This window comes from Homo sapiens, chromosome 7 (assembly GCF_000001405.40).
Source record: "Homo sapiens chromosome 7, GRCh38.p14 Primary Assembly".
Classification (NCBI taxonomy): Eukaryota; Metazoa; Chordata; class Mammalia; order Primates; family Hominidae; genus Homo; species Homo sapiens.
The window spans coordinates 2,678,218-2,699,332 of NC_000007.14; the positions used below are offsets into that span (position 1 = coordinate 2,678,218).

Genomic DNA, 21,115 nt, shown 5'->3' on the forward strand with positions numbered 1-21,115 from the left:
GTGCTAACTGAGGTTGGGCAGCTGCTGGCCAGGGCCCTAGAGAGAGGGGTATCAGGTAGCTAGTGCTGAGTAACAAATAGCTCCAAACACATGACTTCACATGTCCTTAGTATTAAAGGGCCTGGTGGTACTGCTGCTCATTGCTAGGCCTGGCAAGTCCTAGCTGGGCTCACTCACACATCTGTGGGCAGCTGGGAGCTAGCTAGTCCAGGATGGCCTCAGCTAGGGTGACCCAGGCTCCATGGCCCTCTTGCCTTCCAGCAAAGCAGCCCAGCCCGTTCTCGTGCTATAGCAGGAGTCGGGGAGAGCAGGCAGAGGCACGCATGTCCCTGGAGGCTTAAGCTCAGAACTGGGAATGTCATTGCTGTCACGTTTTATTGGCCACAGCAAGTCATAAGACAGGCTCAGATTGAAGGATGGGGAAGTAGACGCCACCTCTAGACAGGAGTTGGGGCAAAGTCACACGGCAAAGGGCGTGGTGATTCAGGGGAGGAGTGGGGCATCGGGGACACGTTTGTAACTGATCTACCACAGAGGGGAGCCCCCCTTTGAGAAAGTGCTCGGTGGGCCTTGGTGCTTACGCAGCCACGGACCAACCTGCTAGATGGGGCCTTCAGTAGGGTGGCGGGACGTCAGTTTAGCCTCAGGATTCGACTCCGAGCCTCTTGCGAGACCACGTCTTGGGCAGCATCGTAGACCCGGCTGTGAGCACAGAGTGGCTCTTCCAGAAAGTTTGTTGAATGACTGACTAAGTCAGCCCCTGTGCCAGGCAGCCCAGAGGGACCAGCCCAGAGCCTCCTTCTCGGGGTGCAAGCCTGGCTTGGGACTGGGGGGTGTCTGCACTCGTGGAGCCCCCCATGCCTGCCGGGAGCCTGAAGACGCAGAGACCTCCTGCCTCGCCTCGCCCCTCCGTGGGGACCCTCTTCCCCACACTCCTTGGTTCCTGTCGGAGCCAAGATGTGTCACCATGGAAACCGCTTGGCAAACGCTGGCAGGCAGAGGCGGCCAACAGCAGCTCTCCCGATCGAGCTCCGGGCGCCGGCTGGAGCAACGTCGCGGGACGGCGTGAGCGAGCACACCCGGCCGTGTGTGACACGCGTGGGGACAGAGGCCGGGGCGGCTGCGGGAGGGCGTGCGGGGAGGTCAGGGCGCCCCGGCGTGTGTGCGCCCACGTGTGCGCTCGTGCGTGTGGGTGTGTGCGCGCCTGTGCGTGTGCCAACAGTGCAGCCACATCGGAGCGCGTGTGCTCCGAGTGTGATGGCCGCGTGGGCCGGTGCAGGGTGTGTGTGGGGATGGGGGTGTCTGATTGGTGCTGTGACCTGCGGCAGCACAGCCGCCTGCGTTGAGCGCCCACGGTGGGCTGGACTTTGCACTAGGTGCTGACAGGACCGGCAGAGGTGGCCACTGCCCTCGTCCCCAGCCTGCACTCCTGGGCGAAGGCTGACGCTGAACAGGTACTTGTAAGAGTCACCGAAGTGCGTGCCGGGAGGGTTCTGGGAAGAGGCAGCTGTGGGGCCTGAAGCCTAAATGTGGGGTGGGAGGCATCCAGGCTGCTGCTCCAGGCAGAGGGCACAGCCTGGGCAAAGGCCAGGAGACCAGGGAAGAAAGGACAGAGTCTGGAGCCCGGGAGAGGTGGCGAGGGGCCATAGCCCTGAAGGAGCTTCATCCTGGGGCTTCATCCGAGTTGAGGAGGCCCAGCTGGGGGTGAAGGGTGCCTCGTAGGCAGAGGGACCCCGGAGGTAGGAACTAGGGATGTGAGGCTGGGGCAGACAGAGCTGAGGGACGCAGCTCACAGCTGGCGGTAGTGAGACGTGGTCTTTGAAAGGCTTCCTGTTGGGGCAAGTGGCTTGGCAGGGGGTGTGTGGAAGCTGGGGAGTCTATAGCCGGCCTGGGTGGGGCGGGCAGTTGAGAGAGATTTTGGAGGTTGACTAGATGCTCCTTGGTGACAGTGGCACTTGAAGAAGGAGGGCAGGGCTGGGATGATGTGGTTTCCTGGGATGGGAGGCGCTGAGAAGGTCTGGGTGCTGGTGGCGGTCTCACCAGGGGGCTGCTTCTGGAGCCCCCATTAACAGGCACTCGGCTCTCTGGGGACCTGCCTGGGTCTCCGGCCCCACAGGCTCCCCGAGCCCTGCCAGGCTGGGCAGGTGTGCAGCCCACCCAGCAGGCACTGGAGACCCCGGGAGACCCCGGATCCTGCAGGGCTTCTCCAGGTGTTTCCAGGAGCCCAGACATGCAGCCGCCCTGGGCCGCGAAGCCTCAAGAGGGAGCCGGGCACGTCCTTGGCACCCCAGCTTTCCTTGCTACCTGAGATCCCCTCTGTGGCTGGGGTTGCTGGAGATGCCCAAGGAGTAGGGGCTCCGTCCTCATTTTCACCCCCGACCCCAGCTCCGACTATGTGGGAGGTGGAGGTGATGGCTCAGGAAGGTCTTGGCTGCTTCAGGCCAGCTCTGGTCTCTTGGACGAAGCCGCTGGGCCGTGGGTTCAGCCTCCTCGTGCTGGCCACAGAGTTGGGGCCCCTCACGTGCCTCACAGGCCTGCCCAGCGCAGCCCATGCGCTCACTGGGGGCTCCTTCCCAGGGCACGACCCTGATGGATGCTGGGCCTCCCTGACGACCCTGCTGGTCAAGCCCGGGGCCAGGCGTGTCTGAGGACTCCGAGGAGATTTCCATGGTCCGTGGTGTGGCCCTGGGTAGGCGCCTGGCCAAGTCACCAGACACCAGGCCTTCGGGATCCCCGCATCCACCAATGGGGTACTGACCCACAGGCGCCGGGCAGGGCGGCCTCCAGGTCAGAAACCTTCCAGGACGCTGAGCACCGACTGTTTGCTTCCCTGCCCACGGATGCCCCCTCGTGGCCAATCCCATCCATCTTAGAACTACGTTTCAGAGTTGAGGATGCAGGGCTGGAGCGGGGCCATGGCTGAGCTCGGTGCCACTCAGGCCCGAAAGCCCCAAGTCAGCCTGGCTAGCGTGCGCCTGGCCATGGGCATCATCAACACAGCTTTTGTTATTCATTATTATTTTTTGAGACGGGGTCTCACTCTTGCCCAGGCTGGAGTGCAGTGGTGCAATCATGGCTCACTGCAGCCTTGACCTCCCCGGCCTCTGGTGATCCTCCCACCTCAGCCTCCTAGGTGCATGCCACCACGCCCTCAGGTGATCCTCCCATCTCAGCCTCCCAGGTGCATGCCACCACGCCCGGCTAATTTTTTTTTAATTTTTGTAGAGATGGGGGTGTCTTGCTATCCTGCCCAGGCTGCTCTCAAACTCCAGGGCTCGAGAGATCCATCCGCCTTGCCCTCTCAAAGTGCTGGGATTACAGGCATGAGCCACGGTGCCCAGCCAAGCCTTTGTTATTCTTGTTGTTGGGGTCCAACTGTGGGGGCTGTGGGGAAGTCTGCAGACAGCTCAGAGTCAAGACAGACCCCGACAGGGACAGGTGGTGCAGGGAGATGTCATTGGAGATTCGTCCCCACGTGCCTGGTCCGTGTGTCTTTTCCTGCTGGAGAAACTACATGTGGGGTTACTCCTGGGGCCCCTGACTACACACAGCATGAGAGGGTAGGAGACAGGGATGGAGGGAGGAGGGAGATGGTGACAGAGAGAGAGACCAAGAACCCCAAGAGACAGAGACAGACAGACAGAGATAGAAACTCAGAGAGACAGACAGACAGACAGAGAGATGGACAGGCGGCCCCTCCCTCCCAGTCCCCCAGCCTTGCTGAGCCCATGGGAGCCCAAACAGCGGAGGAGGGGTCCTGGGGGAGCGGGCTAAGGGCCCCAGTTTATGTGCTGGGGCTGTCACTTTGCACTGAGCGCGCCCCCAGCTCCAGCCGCTCTGGCTGCTCTCTGGAGGGAACAAGGGCTTTCAGAGCTGGGGACCCGACGTGAATACTAATCCAGAAGCTCAAAGGGCGGCCTCACAGGCTGGGCACAGGGAGGCTGGGCCGGGGCCAGGGCCAGCTGAGCCTGTCTGGGAGCTCGCCCTGCTTGGCCTCCCCCCGCTCTTCGTGCTGGGGAGCTCCTGTCCTCCCCTCAGGCCTGAGAGGGTCCCCAGCTACCCCAGGACAGGGTGGGGGGTGGGAACTGCAGCTCCAGGAGTCAGGGTCTCGTGTCCAGCATGAGATGACACCGGGTGGGCCCCCAGCACACAGTCCCTTGAAGAATGGCTGCCCAGGAGGCCTCAGGCCGATGCGAGGGTCCTTAGCTTTGCTTTGCATTCCTACAGTGCTCCAGCGACAGCTCCAGGGAGGCCTGGGGAAACGGAGGCACGGGCACGGAGCCCATGGCAGGGAAGAGGGCTTGACTGTACTCTGTGCTAGGACACCCCAAGTCCCGCAGGCAGTGCTGGGGTCAGGCCCCGTGCATCCTGCCTGGACCAGGATTCAGACCCCTTTGCCTCCTTCCTGGACGTCACCTACTGCACCCAGGAGACCTCAGTGTCGGGCCATGGAAACCCCTGCTTGGGCCATACACGGCTCCCCTGCTTGTGTTCCGAGCCCCTTCACCCCCCAGCCCCTGGCCCTCAGCAACCCCCCTCCCCAGATGCGGCCTCATCTCTTCTCCAGCTTTTCTGACCCTGCCCCACTTCCTGCACCCATCTTTGCCCAGATCCCTGCAGGCATTCTGTACAGGGAGGCCTGTGCTCGCACGGTTCCTTCCACCTGGCACACCCCCATCTCTGCCGTTGACCCGGGCTCATCTTGCTGTGCGGTGAAGCCAGCCTCAGAGCCGTCCTCCTCTGTCCCCACAGCACTGTCTGCCTGCACCCTCGCCTGCTGGCCTTGGAGCAGGGCTGAGCTGCAGAGAGGCCAAGCCCCTGTTCTGTGGCTCGAGTTTGCTGGGTGAGCAGCTGCTGCTTCCCAGGACTCCTTGTGCCAATGCCCCGGGAGAGTTTTCCTCTTCCTTATAAAACCCGTGTGAAGCATTTTCCTGTTTTCCAATGTGGATGAGTTTCCTGCGGCTGCCGTGACAAATGACCACAGCTGTGCGGCTTCAAACAGCACACATTCACTGTCAATTCTGGAGGGCAGTGGTCTGAAGTCAAGGCTGGGGCAGGGCCGAACTTCTGCAGAGGGCTCCAGGGGAAGGTCCTTCCTGCCTCTTCCTGCTTCTGGGGGCTCCAGGTGTCCTTGGCTTGTGGCTGCACCACTCCCATCTCCGTCTTCTCCTCTGTGTCTCTGTGTCTTCAACTTTCTGTTTTTTTGTTTGTTTGTTTGTTTTTGTTTTTGTTTTTTTTGAGACAGAGTCTGGCTCTGTCACCCAGGCTGGAGTGCAGTGGCACGATCTCGGCTCACTGCAAGCTCCGCCTCCCAGGTTCACACCATTCTCCTGCCTCAGACTCCCGAGTAGCTGGGACTACAGGTGCCTGCCACCACGCCTGGCTAATTTTTTTATATTTTTAATAGAGACGGGGTTTCACCGTGTTAGCCAGGATGGTCTCGATCTCCTGACCTCGTGATCCGCCTGCCTTGGCCTCCCAAAGTGCTGGGATTAGAGACGCGAGCCACCGCGCCCAGCTCTGTCTGTTTTTTACAATATTTTGTAGAGATGCTGCCCAGGCTGGTCTCCAACTCCTGGGCTCAAGTGATCCTCCCACCTCGGCTTCCCAAAGTGTTGGAGATTACAGGCGTGAGCCACCTCACCCAGCCTCTTTCTCTCTCTTTTTAAAAAATTGTTGGCTGGGTGTAGTGGCTCATGCCTATAATCCCAGCACTTTGGGAGGCCGAGGCGGGTGGATCACTTGAGGTCAGGAGTTTAAGACCAGCCTGGCCAACACAGTGAAACCCCATCTCTACTAAAAATACAAAAATTAGCTGGGCTTGGTGGCACGCGCCTATAATCCCAGCTACTCAGGAGGCTGAAGCAGGAGAATCGCTTGAACCTGGGAGGCAGAGGTTGCAGTGAGCCAAGATCACGCCACTGCACTCCAGCCCGGGTGACAGAGCGAGACTCCATCTCAAAAAAAAAAATTGTCATTATTTTTTACATTGTCTTGTTCCTCCAATGAGGAACCTCTTTCTGTCTCTTACAAAGTCACTTGCATTGGATTTAGGGCCCACCCTGACTCTGACCCAGGATGACCTCATCTTGAGATCCTTACTTTAACCATATCTGCAACGACTCGGTTTCCAAATAAGGTCCCATTCTGATGGTGCAAGTAGGCACATTTTTGGGAGCCGCTATGTAACCCACCCTGGGGAAACTGAGGCAGGGCAAGGTGAAGCAGCTTCCCCAGGCCACACAGTTCTCTTTTAACCCCAAGTCGGCCTGGGTCAGAGGATGGTGATGGGGTCAAAGTTGGGGGCGGCCCCCTTTGTTCATCACTGAAAGGACAGGGGTCCCCATATCACGGCCTCTTTCTAGAATAGACTCTGACGAGGTAGCTTCAACCAGAAAGGGGTGTGCAGTCTGCCGGTGGGAGACCAGCGTGTCCCGGGTGCAGTGTGGACAGGGCGTTGGCTGAGTGAAGCCTTGGCTGGCAGGGGCCAGGTCATCAGCAGGCTGCCTCTGTGTTTCGGGGGTCCTGGCACTGGGCATGGCGCCACCCAACTTGGGGCACCCAGGAGGGGCCCTACTCATCTGGGCTTCCAGTCTCCCGGGCTGACCCAACAGACAGAGGAGGAACTGCCACTCTGGGCTTGACACATAATTGCTTTTTTTTTTTTTTTTTTTGAGACGGAGTCTCTGTCGCCCAGGCTGGAGTGCAGTGGCGCGATCTCAGCTCACTGCAAGCTCCGCCTCCCAGGTTCACGCCATTCTCCTGCCTCAGCCTCCTGAGTAGCTGGGACTACAGGCGCCCGCCACCACGCCCGGCTAATTTTTTGTATCTTTAGTAAAGATGGAGTTTCACTGTGTTAGCCAGGATGGTCTTGATCTTCTGACCTCGTGATCCGCCCGCCTCGGCCTCCCAAAGTGCTGGGATTACAGGTTGAGCCGCCGCGCCCGGCCTCGATGCATAATTTCCTTTCCGGTGGCTATTCAGGGAGGGGCGTGGGGGTTGGGGGGAGGATATTCCACAACTTCTTTGTAATAAGCAGCTTTAGGACAGAACATTCAGGCCAGGCTCGGTGGCTCACGCCTGTAATCCCAGCAATTTGGGAGGCCAAGGCGGGTGGATCACTTGAAGTCAGGAGTTCGAGACCAGCCTGGCCAACAGGGTGAAGCCCTGTCCTTCCTAAAAATACAAAAATTAGCCGGGCGAGGTGACGGGCACCTGTAATCGCAGCTACTTGGGTGGCTGAGGCAGGAGAATCGCTTGAACCCAGGAAGTGGAGTTTGCAGTGAGCCGAGATCGCGCCACTTGTACTCCAGCTCTGGGCAACAGAGTGAGACTCCGTCTCAAAAAAAAAAAAAGGCCGGGTGCGGTGGCTCATGCCTGTAATCCCAGCACTTTGGGAGGCCGTGGCAGGCGGATCACGAGGTCAGGAGATCGAGACCATCCTGGCCAACATGGTGAAACCCCATCTCTACTAAAAACACAAAAATTAGCTAGGCATGATGGCAGGCGCCTGTAGTCCCAGCTACTTAGGAGGCTGAGGCAGGAGAATGGTGTGAACCCGGGAGGTGGAGCTTGCAGTGAGCCGAGATCACGCCACTGCACTCCAGCCTGAGTGACAGAGCGAGACTCCGTCTCAAGAAAAAAAAAAAAAAAAAAAAAAGAACATTCATCTTTTCTCAGGTTCTGGGTTCTCCATCCCCAACAGAAATAACCTGGAAAATCCCTGCGGCAACACGTGTGAAGAAGTGCAGCTTTCTGAGTCACAATCTATTTGTAGGAATTTATCCCAAGGTGAGGGGGACCAGATACCTGTACAAAGATCTGTGGAAACAAGATCGTCTATCACAGTGATATATGCTAGTGAGACACCAGGAGAAACCAAAATATCCCAAAGCAGGTGACAGATCCATGACACGGAGTCCAGCGCAGACCATCAGGGTGTGGAGACGGACTTTTGGCTATTGATGAGTGTGAAGTCACGGGCCGCCTGCAGAACGCAGTATGTGACGTGAATCCCTTAAAATATGTATTTAGGCTGGGCACGGTGGCTCATACCTGTGATCTCAACATTTTGGGAGGCCGAGCTGGGAGGGTTGTTTGAGCCCAGGAGTTTGAGACCAGCTTGAGCAACATAGCGAGATCCCATCTCTACATAAAAGTTTCAAAATTAGCCAGGTGTGATGGCACGTACCTGTAGTCTCAGCTACTCAGGAGGCTGAGGGAGGAGGATTGCTGGAGTCTAGGAGGTCGAGGCTACAGTGACTCGCGTTTATACCAGTGCATTCTAGCTTGGGCAATAGAGCAAGATCCTGTCTCAAAAAAAACTTTTTAAAAATACATTTCAATGTGGAGGAGAAGGCGATCAGAAGGATGTCTGACAAGAAGGTGAGAGAGGTTACCTCTACACAGTTGGCTTATGGGGTCTTCTTTTTGTTTTTATTTTTCATAATTTTCCAAATTTTGCACACCGGACACCTAGTGTTGTGTTGTTTTTCTCTCTCTCTCTTTTTTTTTTGAAACAAAGTCTTGCTTTGTCACCCAGGCTGGAGTGCAGTGGCATAATCTCGGCTCACTGCAACCTCCGCCTCCCGGGTTCAAGTGATTCTCCTGCTTCAGCCTCCCGAGTAGCTGGGACTATAGGCACCAGCCACCACGCCCAGCTAATTTTTTTATTTTTAATAGAGACGGGGTTTGACCATACTGGCCAGGCCGGTCTTGAACTCCTGACCTTGTGATCTGTCTGCCTCAGCCTCCCAAAGTGCTGGGATTACAGGCATGAGCCACCACGCCCAGCCGTGTTATTTCTTAAGGCTTAAAAAAATTCTTTGAGGCTGGGTGTGGTGGCTCACGCCTGTACTCCCAGCACTTTGAGAGGCTGAGGCGGGTGTATCATGAGGTCAAGAGTTTGATACCAGCCTGGCCAAGAAGGTGAAACCCCATCTCTATTAAAAATACAAAAATTAGCTGGACACAATGATGGGTACCTATAATCCCCACTACTCAGGCGGCTGAGGCAGAAGAATGACTTGAACCCCGGAGGTGGAGGTTGCAGTGAGCCCAGATTGCACCATTACACTCCAGCCTGGGCGACAGAGCGAGACTCCATCTAAAAAAAAAAAAAAATTCTTTGCACTGGTGTGGGACGATGGTGACGAATCCCTCAGCCATCTGTGGGGCGCTGCTGAGGGCGTGGGGGGCATTTCTGCACGGTGAAGCAGAGCTGGTGGGAGGCTGCCCGAGGGAAGCTGGTGCTGGGAGGGTTTGCAGAGAGGAAAAGGGCAGTTTATGGAAAAGGCCTCTGGGCTCTGTCTGGAGCCGTCATGCCGGCCTTCACGGCATCCTTCCGCACTTAGAGTCCTTTCCATCTCCTGGTGGCTGGCACAGGGCCAGGGCTGCACTCACAGCTGGCCAGGGTAGGGCAGGGCGCCCGTCCTCAGGGCCACTGACTGTAGGGCTAACCTAGGGGCCTGGTTCACCCCTCTCACCTGGGGCTTCGCTGATAAGCCTGGTTCACCTCCTCACCTGGTGGCCTCGTTCACCCCCTCACCTGGCGCCTTGCCTGATAGCCTGGTTCACCCCTCTCACCTGGGGCCTCTCCTGGTGGCCTGGTTCCCCTTCCTCACCTCGTGGCGCTGGTTCACCCCTCTCACCTGGGGCCTTAACTGGTGGCCTGGTTCACCTCTTCACCTGGCGCCTTGCAGAGTAGCCGGGTTTACTCCTCTCACCTGGGGAGGCACGAACTGGCCCGGGCTGACTGACCTCCCTCACCTGTTTGGCTTTAGGCTCTGGGGCCCCCCTGCCCGGGTGTTTCTGGGAGGCTGGAGGGTCCCACGTGAGCTCCACCGCGGGCAGCTGGAGGGAGTGGGGCAGGACGCTGAGCGCCGGGAGGGGTGTGGCCCTCCTGTCCTGCCCGCGGCCCCACACCGGCCCCAGTCCCGCCCGCCTCGGTCCCTGCCCCGCGCGCCGACGTCACCGGGACCTCCCGATCCTCCCGGCCCAGGCCGAGCTGCCCACGCTGCTGCCCGGGGCTCGGTGCCCGGCGCGGCCTCTGCCGGCTCCGGCGGGCGCGGGACTGCGAGGTAGGGGGGCGCGCGGGGAAGACTCGGGGGCGCAGGGACCGAGAGGGACCTCCGTGCCGGGGCGGGTGGGTAGGGGCAGCTCCGGGTCCAGCCCGGCCCGCGCACCAAGTCCCGAGGGCGCCCGGGCGGCGGCGGCTACGGGCGCGCGGGGACCGCGGAGACGCGAAGGGCGCACTTGGCGAGGGTTTGGTGCAGCGCCGCGCCGGGGTCCGCACAGCCCCGGCAGGTCCTGCAGAGGGAAGGCCGGGCCAGGGAAGGGCCACGCGCCCCCTCCCCGCCATCCTCTCCCAGGCCAGGGCGACCTGCGCGCTTCCCGATGGGAGCAAACTGGGGACGGGTCGGGAATCCAGGGCCAAGCGCCCGAAAGAAGGCGTTTCCGGGCTGGGGCGAGCCAGGTGGGTGCGGGACGTCCCCGGGGAACCTCCAGGGCGCCGAGAATCTCGTCGTGCCCAGGGCTCCCCGCAGCCTGTGTATGAGCCGGGGAGGGAGAAGGCTTCCTCCCCCAGGAGACTGAGGGAGAAGGCTGTGGATATGATCCCTGCAGGGATGTAAGACAGGTCTCAAAACCAGAAAAGCAAGGGAGGGGTGACAGAGAAATGGCAAACTTTACAAAGGACAGGGGAGGGCAGGGACCTGGGTCCTTTCTGCCCCCATCACGGGAGGGAAACACTTGGCAGAGGAGTTTGGGGTTCGCAGGTGAGGAGAGAGAACAGGAAGCCAAGAGTCTGGCCCGGAGGCCACTACCCCTGCGGTCTAAGCCCCCGGTTTTCCCTCCTAGCGAATGGAAACTGAGAGGTGAGAAACCCCCAAAACCATCCGTCCGTCTGGTTCTGCCTGAAGGTCTCCGCTGTCAGCTAATGAATAGCTCGATGCAGCTGCTGGGAGGTTTTGCAAAGCGCATTCAGAATAGCGAGAATCAGAGCATGGTTTCTTGCCCAAAGGCCAGGCATCTGCGTGGTCAGATGGGGGAGCATGAGTGCCCGGAGCTGTGCGGTTTAGGGCAGCCTGACCTTGGATACCTGGTTACTGGGCCAGTCTGGCGGCCCTTGTTGCTTAGAGCGGCAGAACCTCCCTGGGGGGGGGATGCGGACGTGCTCTTTTCCAGTCTTTGGACAAAAAAAGGCAAGGGGAGGAGGAAGGAGAAGCGTCTGAGTTTACCCATGGTATTAATAGCAGCAGGGCTGGAACTCGGGTGCTCTGGGAGAGGAGACGTCCTACCCCCTGTCCCCGTCAGAACATCCCTGCTCCAGGAGCAGCTGGGGTTCCAGTGTGAAGCGTGGCTTTGAAACCAGGCCCCGCTGGCCCCCAGCTGTGTCGCCAGGGCCAAGTCACTTAACGTCTGAGCCTCAGTTTCCCCACCTGAAACACCGCAGTGGCACCTGCGGCTCCGTGTGTGGCTTGGAGGACGCAGGCATGAGACCTGTTGGCTGCTGTCATGACTGCAGTTAGCAGAGGAGGGGGACACACTGTGACAGGGTCCAAAGGACAGCGAGAAACCTCCATCTGGGGGTCTCCTTTTTGGAGCATGGATGGGTTGGTGAGTGCCAGAGGGTGCTGCGAAGCTGACCCCCACTAAGGCGGCTCCCTCCCCGTGGGTACCCCCAGGGCTCACATGCAGCTCTGGCTCTATGTGAGGAGTGGTCTTGTGCAGAAATGACCTGGCAGGATGGAAGGACTCAGCTGGCAGCTGACAGTGGGGACCGGGGTTTTCCTGAATGACCCACGAAGACGAATGTGGCCACAAGGCTTCTTGAGAGGAAATAGTATGTGGGCAGACGTCATGCCCTGGATGCCCGAGAGCTGTACCCGTGTTAAGGGATGGAGGGAGCTAAGCGTTCTCATTCCTAGCTTGGAGCCTGTCACACCATTCTCCAGTCTGCACTAGGAGGTGGCTGTGTTTTTGTGTGTGTGTGAGAGAGAGAGAGAGACAGACAGACAGACAGACAGGGTCTTGCTCTGTCTTCCAGGCTGGAATGCAGTGATGCAATCATAGCTCACCACAGCCTCGACCTCCAGGGCGAAAGCAATCCTCCCATCTCAGCCTCCCTAGTAGCTGGGACCACAGGCATGCACAACCATGCCCAGCTAATTTTTAAAATGTTTTGTAGAGACGGGGTTTTGCCATATTTCCCCAGGCTGGTCTCAAACTCCTGGACTCAAGCGATTGTCCCGGGAGGTGGCTATTTTTAGAGCTTGCCTCTCACATCCTGTTGATCTTCCAGCCGGGCTAGTCTGGAGCTGGCGTGGCCACTCCTTCCCGGGCGGCTCAGGTTGGCTGAAGGTGGTGTTGTGTCTCTGGCTGGGTTTCCGATGTAGATGCTCTTGAGTTACCCACGTGCCCGCCACTGCTTGCGGGTGTGCAAACGGCCTCTGTGGTCGTGGCTCCTCTGTGCGTGTGCTCTGGTCCCCTGCAAAACTTGTCGCTGTGGCCCTTCCTGTTGCTCCCATTCGGTCCTCCCTGAATAACTTAGATGGGCCTGAGGTTGGCAGTTTGGGCCCAAGTCACACCTGGAACCAATGTGGTAGGGCTTGTGAACTTTTGGTAAAAAGAAGGCATTTCTCAGCCGGGTGTGGTGGCTCACCTCTGAAATCCCAGTGCTTTGGGAGGCCGAGGCAGGCAGACCACTTGAGGCCAGGAGTTCGATACTAGCCTGGCCAACATGGTGAAACCCTGTCTCTACTAAAGATAACAAAATTAGCCTGGCATGGTGGCATGCGTCTGTAGTCCCAGCTACTAGGGAGGCTGAGGCATGAGAATCGCTTGAACCCTGGAGGAGAAGGAGGTTGCAGTGAGCTGAGATTGTGCCACTGCACTCCAGCCTGGGTGACAGAGGCAAAAAAAAAAAAAAAAAAAGCATTTCTCATTTCCTGATGCTTTGCCTGGAGTAGGAGGGTTTGCTGGCAGGGAAGCCTCTGACCAGGGTTTTCGGGTGGTCAGGTGGGTGTGGGTGCTGGCAGGAAAGCCCCCTCAAGAGTAGGGGAAGGTCCGTGTGTGAGGACTGGAGTCAGGGGTCTCTGTGCTGGGAGTCAAGATCCAGGTGAGCTGTGTAACCCTGGGCAAGTGGCTTTCCCTCTCTGAGCCTCAGTCTCCTGGGTTATGACATGGGTGAATCTCAGGATGGCTTTGGAGGTCGGACAAGGTGTTGCATCAGAAAGTGATTTTGGGCCGGGCGCGGTGGCTCACACATATAATCCCAGCACTTCGGGAGGCCGAGGCGGGTGGATCACAAGGTCAGGAGTCTGAGAACAGCTTGGCCAATATGGTGAAACCTCGTTTCTACTAAAAATACAAAAATAAGCTGGGTGTGGTCGTGAGCGCCTGCAGTCCCAGCTGTTCGGGAGGCTCAGGCAGTGAACCCAGGAGGCGGAGGTTGCAGTGAGCCGAGATTGCGCCACTGCACTCTAACCTGGGTGACAGAGCAAGGCTCCGTCTCAAAAAAAAAAAAAAAAAATAAGTGATTTTGGGGCTTTGCAGGGTGGCAGGCACCGGAAGGGGAATGTTGATCAGGGCTGGTCCAGGGTGCCCGCAGGTATTGCTATCTGTTTTACCATGTCATTCTCTGGAAAGCTGGGACACAGACCATCCTGGGCATCTGGAAGGCCCTGGGCTGCTCCAGAGAAATAATTGATAGGCCCCTGTGGACAGAACAAATAATTCTGAGCTGGCTGCGGCGCTAGGGGAATGATTTGGAGGTAACTGGGAGGTTATGGTGCTTGCCCCTTGTGGGCGGCAGTGCTGGTGAGTGGAAGGTCTGGGAGCGAGAAGCCGGTGAGCAGGTCATGTCACCGGTACCCAGAAACTACAAAAATAAGCTGGTGAGTCTCCTGTGGCGTCGGGTGCTCCGAGGCCGGCTAAGTGCCTCCTCCTCCTACTTGGGCCAGCCAGGCTCCTGGAGGAAGACAGGTGGGACCACACCCATCTCACAGGGAGGACACAGTGGGGTTGAAAGAGGACCGAGCTTGGCCGGGCGTGGTGGCTCACGCCTGTAATCCCAACACTCTGGGAGGCCGAGGCGGGCGGATCATGAGGTCAGGAGATCGAGACCATCCTGGCTAACACGTGAAACCCCATCTCTACTAAAAATACAAAAAAAAATTAGCCGGGTGTGGTGGCGGGCGCCTTTAGTCCCAGCTATTCGGGAGGCTGAGGCAGGAGAATCGCTTTAACCCGGGAAGCGGAGGTTGCAGTGAGCCGAGATTGTGCCACTGCACTCCAGCCTGGGTGATAGAGTGAGGCTCCATCTCAAAAAATAAAAAATAAATAAAGAGGACCAAGCTCATGCCAGAGCCCTCGGAGTTGTTGAGGGCATTCCAGCTTCAGGGGTTTCCTGGGCGCCTCTTCCGTAGCGAGGTCCCCAGGAGTCCCCGAGGGGACTCTGAGAGGTTGCAGGGGGTGCTGCCTCCACACGCTGACACCTGGCATGGCTAGGGCAGGAGTACCCCACCCCTTGGCCACAAGCCCAGCAGCGGTTCCCCACCTCACCCAGAGCAAAGGTTAAAGCTCTTCCAACAGCCTCCCGGCTCCTGCGCGATGTGTCCCCATCTTCCCCCAATCTCGTCCCCTGTTCTTTCCCCCAATTTGTTCCAGCCACACTGGCCTCCTCCGGCTGTCCCCTGAGCCCCCAGACGTATCTGCTGCGGGCCTGTGTACACCCACCTCTGTCTGGGACGGTCTGCCCCTCCTCCCCGCTGCCTCCTTGCTCAGAGATCCCACCTCAATGGAGCCCACTGTGATCACCCTCTCAGGAATGGGAGTGTGGGCCTGGCACGCCTGAGCCCTGCCCCGCTCTGTAGGGGGGTGTTTGTTTGTTTGTTTGTTTTGAGATGGAGTTTTTGCTGTTGTTGCCCAGGCCGGAGTGCAGTGGCGCGATTTCGGCTCACCGCAACCTCCGCCTCCCGAGTTTAAGCAATTCTTCTGAGTAGCTGGGATTACAGGCATGCGCCACCACGCCCAGCTAATATTGTATTTTTAGGAGAGATGGGGTTTCTCCATGTTGGTCAGGCTGGTCTTGAACTCCTGACCTCAGGTGATTGCCCGCCTCCCAAGGTGCTGGGATTACAGGTGTGAGCCACCGTGCCTGGTTGGTGGGATTGTTGTTGTTGGACACAGGGTCTTGCTGTCATCCAGGCTGGAGTGCAGTGGTGCGATCACAGCTCACTGCAGCCTTGGACTCCTGGGCTGGAGACTTCCTCCGACCTCAGCCTCTCGAGTAACTAGGACCACAGATGTGTGCCACCACACCCAGCTAATTTTTGTTTTGTTTTGTTTTGTTTTTTGACACGGAGTCTTGCTCTGTGGCCCAGACTGGAGTGCAGTGGCGCGATCTCCGCTCACTGCAAGCTCCGCCTCCCGGGTTCACTCCATTCTCCAGCCTCAGCCTCCAGAGTAGCTAGGACTATAGGCGCCCGCCACCACGCCTGGCTAATTTTTTGTATTTTTAGTAGAGACAGGGTTTCACCGTGTTAGCCAGGATTGTCTTGATCTCCTGACCTCCTGATCCGCTCGCCTCGGCCTCCCAAAGTGCTGAGAATGCAGGCATGGGCCACTGCAGCCAGCCAGCCTTTTCTTTTTCCAACAGGACCTGTCACCTTCTAACCTACCTTCTATGCTATTTACTTAGCACTTTTGCCACCTGCCTTCCTGCTGGAGCACCTAACTCCATGGGGCCAGGGACCTCTGTTTTGTCCACTCATGTTGGAAAACCCCCAGCACAGGGCCCAGCACCCAGGAAGCCCTTGGCAGCTAATGTCACTGTCATGAGTCCGCTGAACTGGGCCACAGGGTGCCTGATGCAACACCGTTCCTGGGCGTGTCTGTGAGGGTGCTCGAGATGACATTAGGATTAGGACAGTGGGTTCAGGAAGGTGGACTGCCCTCCCCAAGTGGCTGGGCACCTTCCAATCCCTCCAGACCCTGAATAGAACAGACGGCAGAGGGAGGAGGAGTTCACCCCTCATTTCCTGCCTCGCCGCTGGAGCTGGGACATGTCATCCTCTCTTGCCCCGGGACTGGATGTCCACCATCGGCTGCCCTGGTTCTCAGGCCTTCGGACATGAGCTGAGTTTGAATCACGCCTTGGGCTTCCCTGGGTCTCTGGCTTGTAGGCAGCACACTGTAGGACTTCTCAGCTTCTGAGGCCTGTGAGCCAATTCTCATAATAAATCCTTATTTTATTTTCATAGAGTAGAGATGAGGTCTATGTTGCCCAGGCTGGCCTTGGCCGCCCCTGCTCAAGTGATCCTTCTGCCTCCCGAAGTACTGGGATTACAGGTGTGAGCCACCGTACCTGGTCATAATCCTATAAATATACATGTGAGATTATATTACATTAATATATTATCGTATATATTAAAATCTCATATATATAATATATATTTTATTTATTTTTTTTTTGAGATGGAGTCTCGCTCTGTCACTCAGGCTGGAGTGCAGTGGCGCGATCTCAGCTCACTGCAACCTCTGTCTCCTGGATTCAAGCGATTCTCCTGCCTCAGCCTCCCGAGTAGCTGGGATTACAGGCATGTGCCACCACGCCTGGCTAATTTTTGTACTTTTAGTAGAGACAGGGTTTCACCATGTTGGCCAGGCTGGTCTCGAACTCCTGACCTCGAGTGATCCGCCTGCCTCGACCTCCCAAGGTGCTGGGATTCCAGGCGTGAGCCATCGCGTCCGGCCTATTATTTTATATATATTGGATAAATGAATGAACCCGTGCGTTCACCTGCCCTGGGACCCGCCTGGCCTCTTTTGGAACCACTGATCGTGCATCTCAGCTGCTTCTGGCTGACTTGGGTCTGTCCTCACGGCTCCTCCTTGCTCAGCCTCTGGCCCCGCTGCAAGACTTGCCCACTACGGCCCTTTCCATGGCCACAGGATCTGGTCCTGTCCATCGTCTGTGCATCTGATGTTTCTTTCTTCCTTTATGGTCCAGAGGCGGGAATTCCACCCTGGTGTGAACCTGCCAGGACTGCCCTGTGCACTCCAGGAGTCCAGGAGTGAGACCCACGCTGGAGTCTGGTGGTGGGCATGCGGGTCTGGGCACAGGCTCGGTCTGCATAGAACCCACGTGGTCCCAGCAAGGTGGGGCCCTGCTTCCCATGGTGATGGGAACCATGATGCTTGAAAATCTGCATGTTCAGGCCCATGTGGTGGCTCAGGCTTATAATCTCAGCACTTTGGGAGGCCCATAAGGGAGGATTGCTTGAGCCTCGGAGTTCAAGACCAGCCTGGGCAACATAGTGAGACTCTTCTCTACAAAAAAAAAAATTGACTGGGCGTGTTGGTACATGTCCGTAGTCTCAGCTACTCAGGAGGCCAAGGCAGGAGGACTGCTTGAGCCCAGGAGTTGGAGGCTGCAGTGAGCTGAGTGCACCACAGCACTCCAGCCTGGGCAAAACAGGGAGATCCTGTCTCATTTAAAAAAGAAAAAAAGGCCGGGCGCAGTGGCTCATGCCTATAATCCCAGCACTTTGGGAGGCCAAGGCAGGTAGATCACATGAGGTCAGGAGTTCGAGACCAGCCTGACTAACATGGTGAAACCCCGTCTCTACTAAAAATACAAAATTAGCCGGGCGTGGTGGCGGGCACCTGTAGTCCCAGCTACTCGGGAGGCTGAGGCAGGAGAATCGCTTGAACCCGGAGGCGGAGGTTGCAGTGAGCTGAGATAGTGCCATTGGACTCCAGCCTGGGTGACAGAGCGAAACTGTCTTGGGGGGGAAAAAAAAAAAAAAAAGGAAATGGACATAACTATTATTAGAAAACAAAATCTGTGTGTTCCAACCCCCCTCGCCCCGCCCCCCACAACCTCTGATTCTGGGTGGCATGGTGTTGCTTAAGTTAGATTTAACCCTACTCCACCTCGGTTTTGAAAATGGGGACAAAAACTGCACCCACTTTTCTGAGGGTTAAAGCAATGAAGCCCTGCCTGGAACACAGTGCGGTTTGTGGCTCTTGATAGTCATTTTTTTTTTTTTTTTTGAGATGGAGTCTCGCTCTGTCACCCAGGCTGGAGTGCAGTGGTGCGATCTTGGCTCACTGCAAGCTCCGCCTCCCAGGTTCACGCCATTCTCCTGCCTCAGCCTCCCAAGTAGCTGGGACTACAGGCGCCCGCCACCACGCCTGGCTAATTTTTTTGTATTTTTAGTAGAGACGGGGTTTCACCATGTTAGCCAGGATGGTCTCGATCTCCTGACCTCGTGATCTGCCCGCCTGGGCCTCCCAAAGTGCTGTGATTACAGGCGTGAGCCACCGCACCTGGCCAATAGTCATTTTTATCTGCTGCTGATGACTTAGAACTTCCAGGGCTGGCCGGGCACGGTGGCTCATGCCTGTAATCCCAGCACTTTGGGAGGCTGAGGTGGGCAGATCACCTTGAGGTCAGGAGTTCAAGACCAACCTGGCCAACATGGTGAAACCCTGTCTCCACTAAAAATACAAAAATTAGCTGGGCATGGTGGTGGGTGCCTGTAGTCCCAACTACTTGGGAGGCTAAGGCAGGAGAATCGCTTGAACCCAGAAAGTGGAGGTTGCAGTGAGCAAAGATCGTGCTACTGCACTCCAGCCTGGGGTAGAGGGAGACTCTGTCTCAAAAACAAAAAACAAAAACAAAAAACCTTGAGGGCTGGTGGGATTGTAAACTGGTGTGATCTTTCTGCAAAGCAATTTGCAATACAAATCACGATCCTTCAAACATCCACATGTGGAATTTTCCCTTCTAGGAGTCCATCTTGAGGAGATGGAAACACAGACTTATGTACAAAGATGTTCATTACGGCGTTTTTGGGCAGTGGTTGAAAGTAGCATTTTAATTTATTTTTTATTTTTGAGACAGAGCCTTGCTGCAATGCCCAAGCTGGAGTGCAATGGCGCAATCTCGGCTCACTGCAACCTCTGCCTCCCGGGTTCAAGTGATTCTTCTGCCTCTTGAGTAGCTGGGATTACAGGCACGTGTCACCACGCCCGGCTAATTTTTGTATTTTTAGTAGAGATGGGGTTTCACTGGGTTAGCCAGGATGGTCTCGAACTCCTGACCTCGGGTGATCCAGCAGCCTCGGCCTCCCAAAGTGCTGGGATTACAGGCGTGAGCTGCTGCGCCCGGCTCTATTTTTTATTTTTTAAAATAAAATTTAAATTTGTTGTTTTTTTGAGACAGGGTCTCACTCCCTCCTCCAGGCTGGAGTGCAGTGGCACGATCATGGCTCACTGCAGCCTTGACTTTCTGGGCTCAGGTGATCCTTCCACGTCAGCCTCCTGAGTTGCTGGGACTACAGGTGCGCGTCACCATGCCCGGCTAATTTTTTGTGTTTTTAGTAGAGATGAGATTTTGCCATGTTGCCTGGGCTGGTCTTGAACTCCTGTGCTCAAGTGATCCACCCGCCTCAGCCTCCTGAAGTGCTGGGATTACAGGTGTGAGCCACCACACTCAGCCAAAAACAGCATTTTTGTAGAATGTTTAAGAATTTGGAAAATGCTCAAGATTTATGAAGCAAAAAGATACAGGATTATATATGCAGTTGGATCTTAAATTTGTAAAATATATTTGGAGAAAGAAGTTATAGAAAGCTCCAGGCTGGCAGTGATCTCAGTGGAAATTCAGTACCAGCCCCTCCCCTACTCTAAGCCAGTACGTTCCTCTGGAAAAAAAATATATTTGTGTATATTTGTGTGCACACATGTATATACAGCTGTGTCACATTTTCCCCAAAAGAAAATATATAAATTACATATATCAAATTTATTTATGTATTCACATATACATAGGAATATGAGCACATATACATGTATTTTCCAGATGAATGTGTGACACTGGAGTTAGTGGGCCAGGCGTGGTACGTATGCCCATGTTGCCACTACTCAGGAGGCTACTGTGAGCCATGATTGTGCCACTATACTCTAGCCTGGGCACAGAGCTAGAACCATTCTGTTAAAAAAAACAAAACAAAAAACAAGCAAAAAAACCAAACAGGCGTGGTGGCTCATGCCTGTAATCCCAGCACTTTGGGAGGCAGAGGCAGTCGGATCACTTGAGGTCAGGAGTTTGAGACCAGCCTGGCCAACATGGTGAAACCCTGTTTCTACTAAGAACACAAAAATTAGCCTAGCATGGTCGGGGGCACCTGTAATCCCAGCCACTTGGGAGGCTGGGGCAGCAGAATTGCTTGAACCCGGGAGGTGGAGGTTGCAGTGAGCCCAGATCACGACACTGCATTCTAGCCTGGGCGACACAGCAAGACTCCATCTAAAAAAACAAAAAGAAGTTGGGGCTCGGGGGGTCTGTGTGCAGTGGCTGACGCACTTTGGGAGGTTGAGGAGAGAGGATTGCTTGAGCCCAGGAGTTTGAGACCAGCCTGGGCAACATAGTGAGACCCCCGTCTCTACAAAAAATACAAAAATTAGCAGGACATTGTACACACTTTGTATTCCCAGCTACTTGGGAGGCTGAAGCAGGAGGATCGCTTGAGCTCAGGAGTTGGAGGCTGCAGTGAGCTATGATTGCACCACTGCACTCCAGCCTGGACGAAACAGCGAGACCCTATCTCTAAAAAAGAAATCAGGGTTAGTTAGAGAATAGGGCTGTTCATTCTCCCTGCAAAAACATAGCTGTTTCTGGTTTTCCGGCTAGGACTGGCAGGTCTTGCAACTTGACGGTCGCAGACAAGTGGGTTTTGCGTGTCTAGCTCAGCTTTCTACAGGAAGCTTGTCCGAGGGCTGCTGATTCATAAGGGTCTATTCACACGTCCTTAGCTGCACCTGCCTTGCTATATTATTTGTGCATCCCCCTTCTGTGGTTTCTGGTTCGTTTCTAGCCTCTCCCCACAACCACCCCTTTGCTTTTATCTGTTCTGCGAGGCTTCCCCTGCCCAGCCCACTCTCCATCCGCCCTGGCAGGTCTCACAGTCTCTGAACAGAGACATAAATGTAGCCCGGAACCAAGTGTGCGGTGACGACTCTCAGGCGTGTTCCTAAGTGTGGGGTTGCCTAGCTGCTGCTGCTCCGGTCAGAGCATCTGTTTTGCAGGGCGGCTTTGTCACGGTTC

General features: G+C 56.3%; 1 protein-coding gene across 12 annotated transcripts in view, besides 2 other annotated features; it reads left to right on the forward strand.

Annotated features, from left to right (window-relative positions):
* The first annotated feature begins 1,304 nt into the window (after positions 1-1,304).
* AMZ1 (archaelysin family metallopeptidase 1) overlaps positions 1,305-21,115 on the forward strand; it is an 85,617-nt gene continuing 65,806 nt past the window's right edge. For 7 of the 12 annotated variants that reach the window (NM_001321766.2, XM_017011774.3, NM_001384740.1 and 4 more), the window contains exon 1: positions 9,985-10,079. The gene's annotated coding sequence lies outside the window, so the exon portion shown is untranslated. Of the gene's footprint in view, positions 1,455-9,984; positions 10,080-21,115 lie in introns of those variants that run through there. The other 5 variants (XM_011515151.4, NM_001384742.1, NM_133463.4 and 2 more) reach the window with 1 other exon arrangement.
* Positions 2,604-3,109: an enhancer, noted in NCBI's record as "H3K27ac-H3K4me1 hESC enhancer chr7:2720455-2720960 (GRCh37/hg19 assembly coordinates)". NCBI's record gives its function as "activates a minimal SCP1, AML or CMV promoter by ChIP-STARR-seq in primed H9 embryonic stem cells {active_cell/tissue: H9 hESC(primed)}" and the evidence as "EXISTENCE:reporter gene assay evidence [ECO:0000049][PMID:30033119]".
* Positions 10,684-10,953: an enhancer, noted in NCBI's record as "active region_25544". NCBI's record gives its function as "activates an Ori minimal core promoter by ATAC-STARR-seq in GM12878 lymphoblastoid cells {active_cell/tissue: GM12878}" and the evidence as "EXISTENCE:reporter gene assay evidence [ECO:0000049][PMID:35858748]".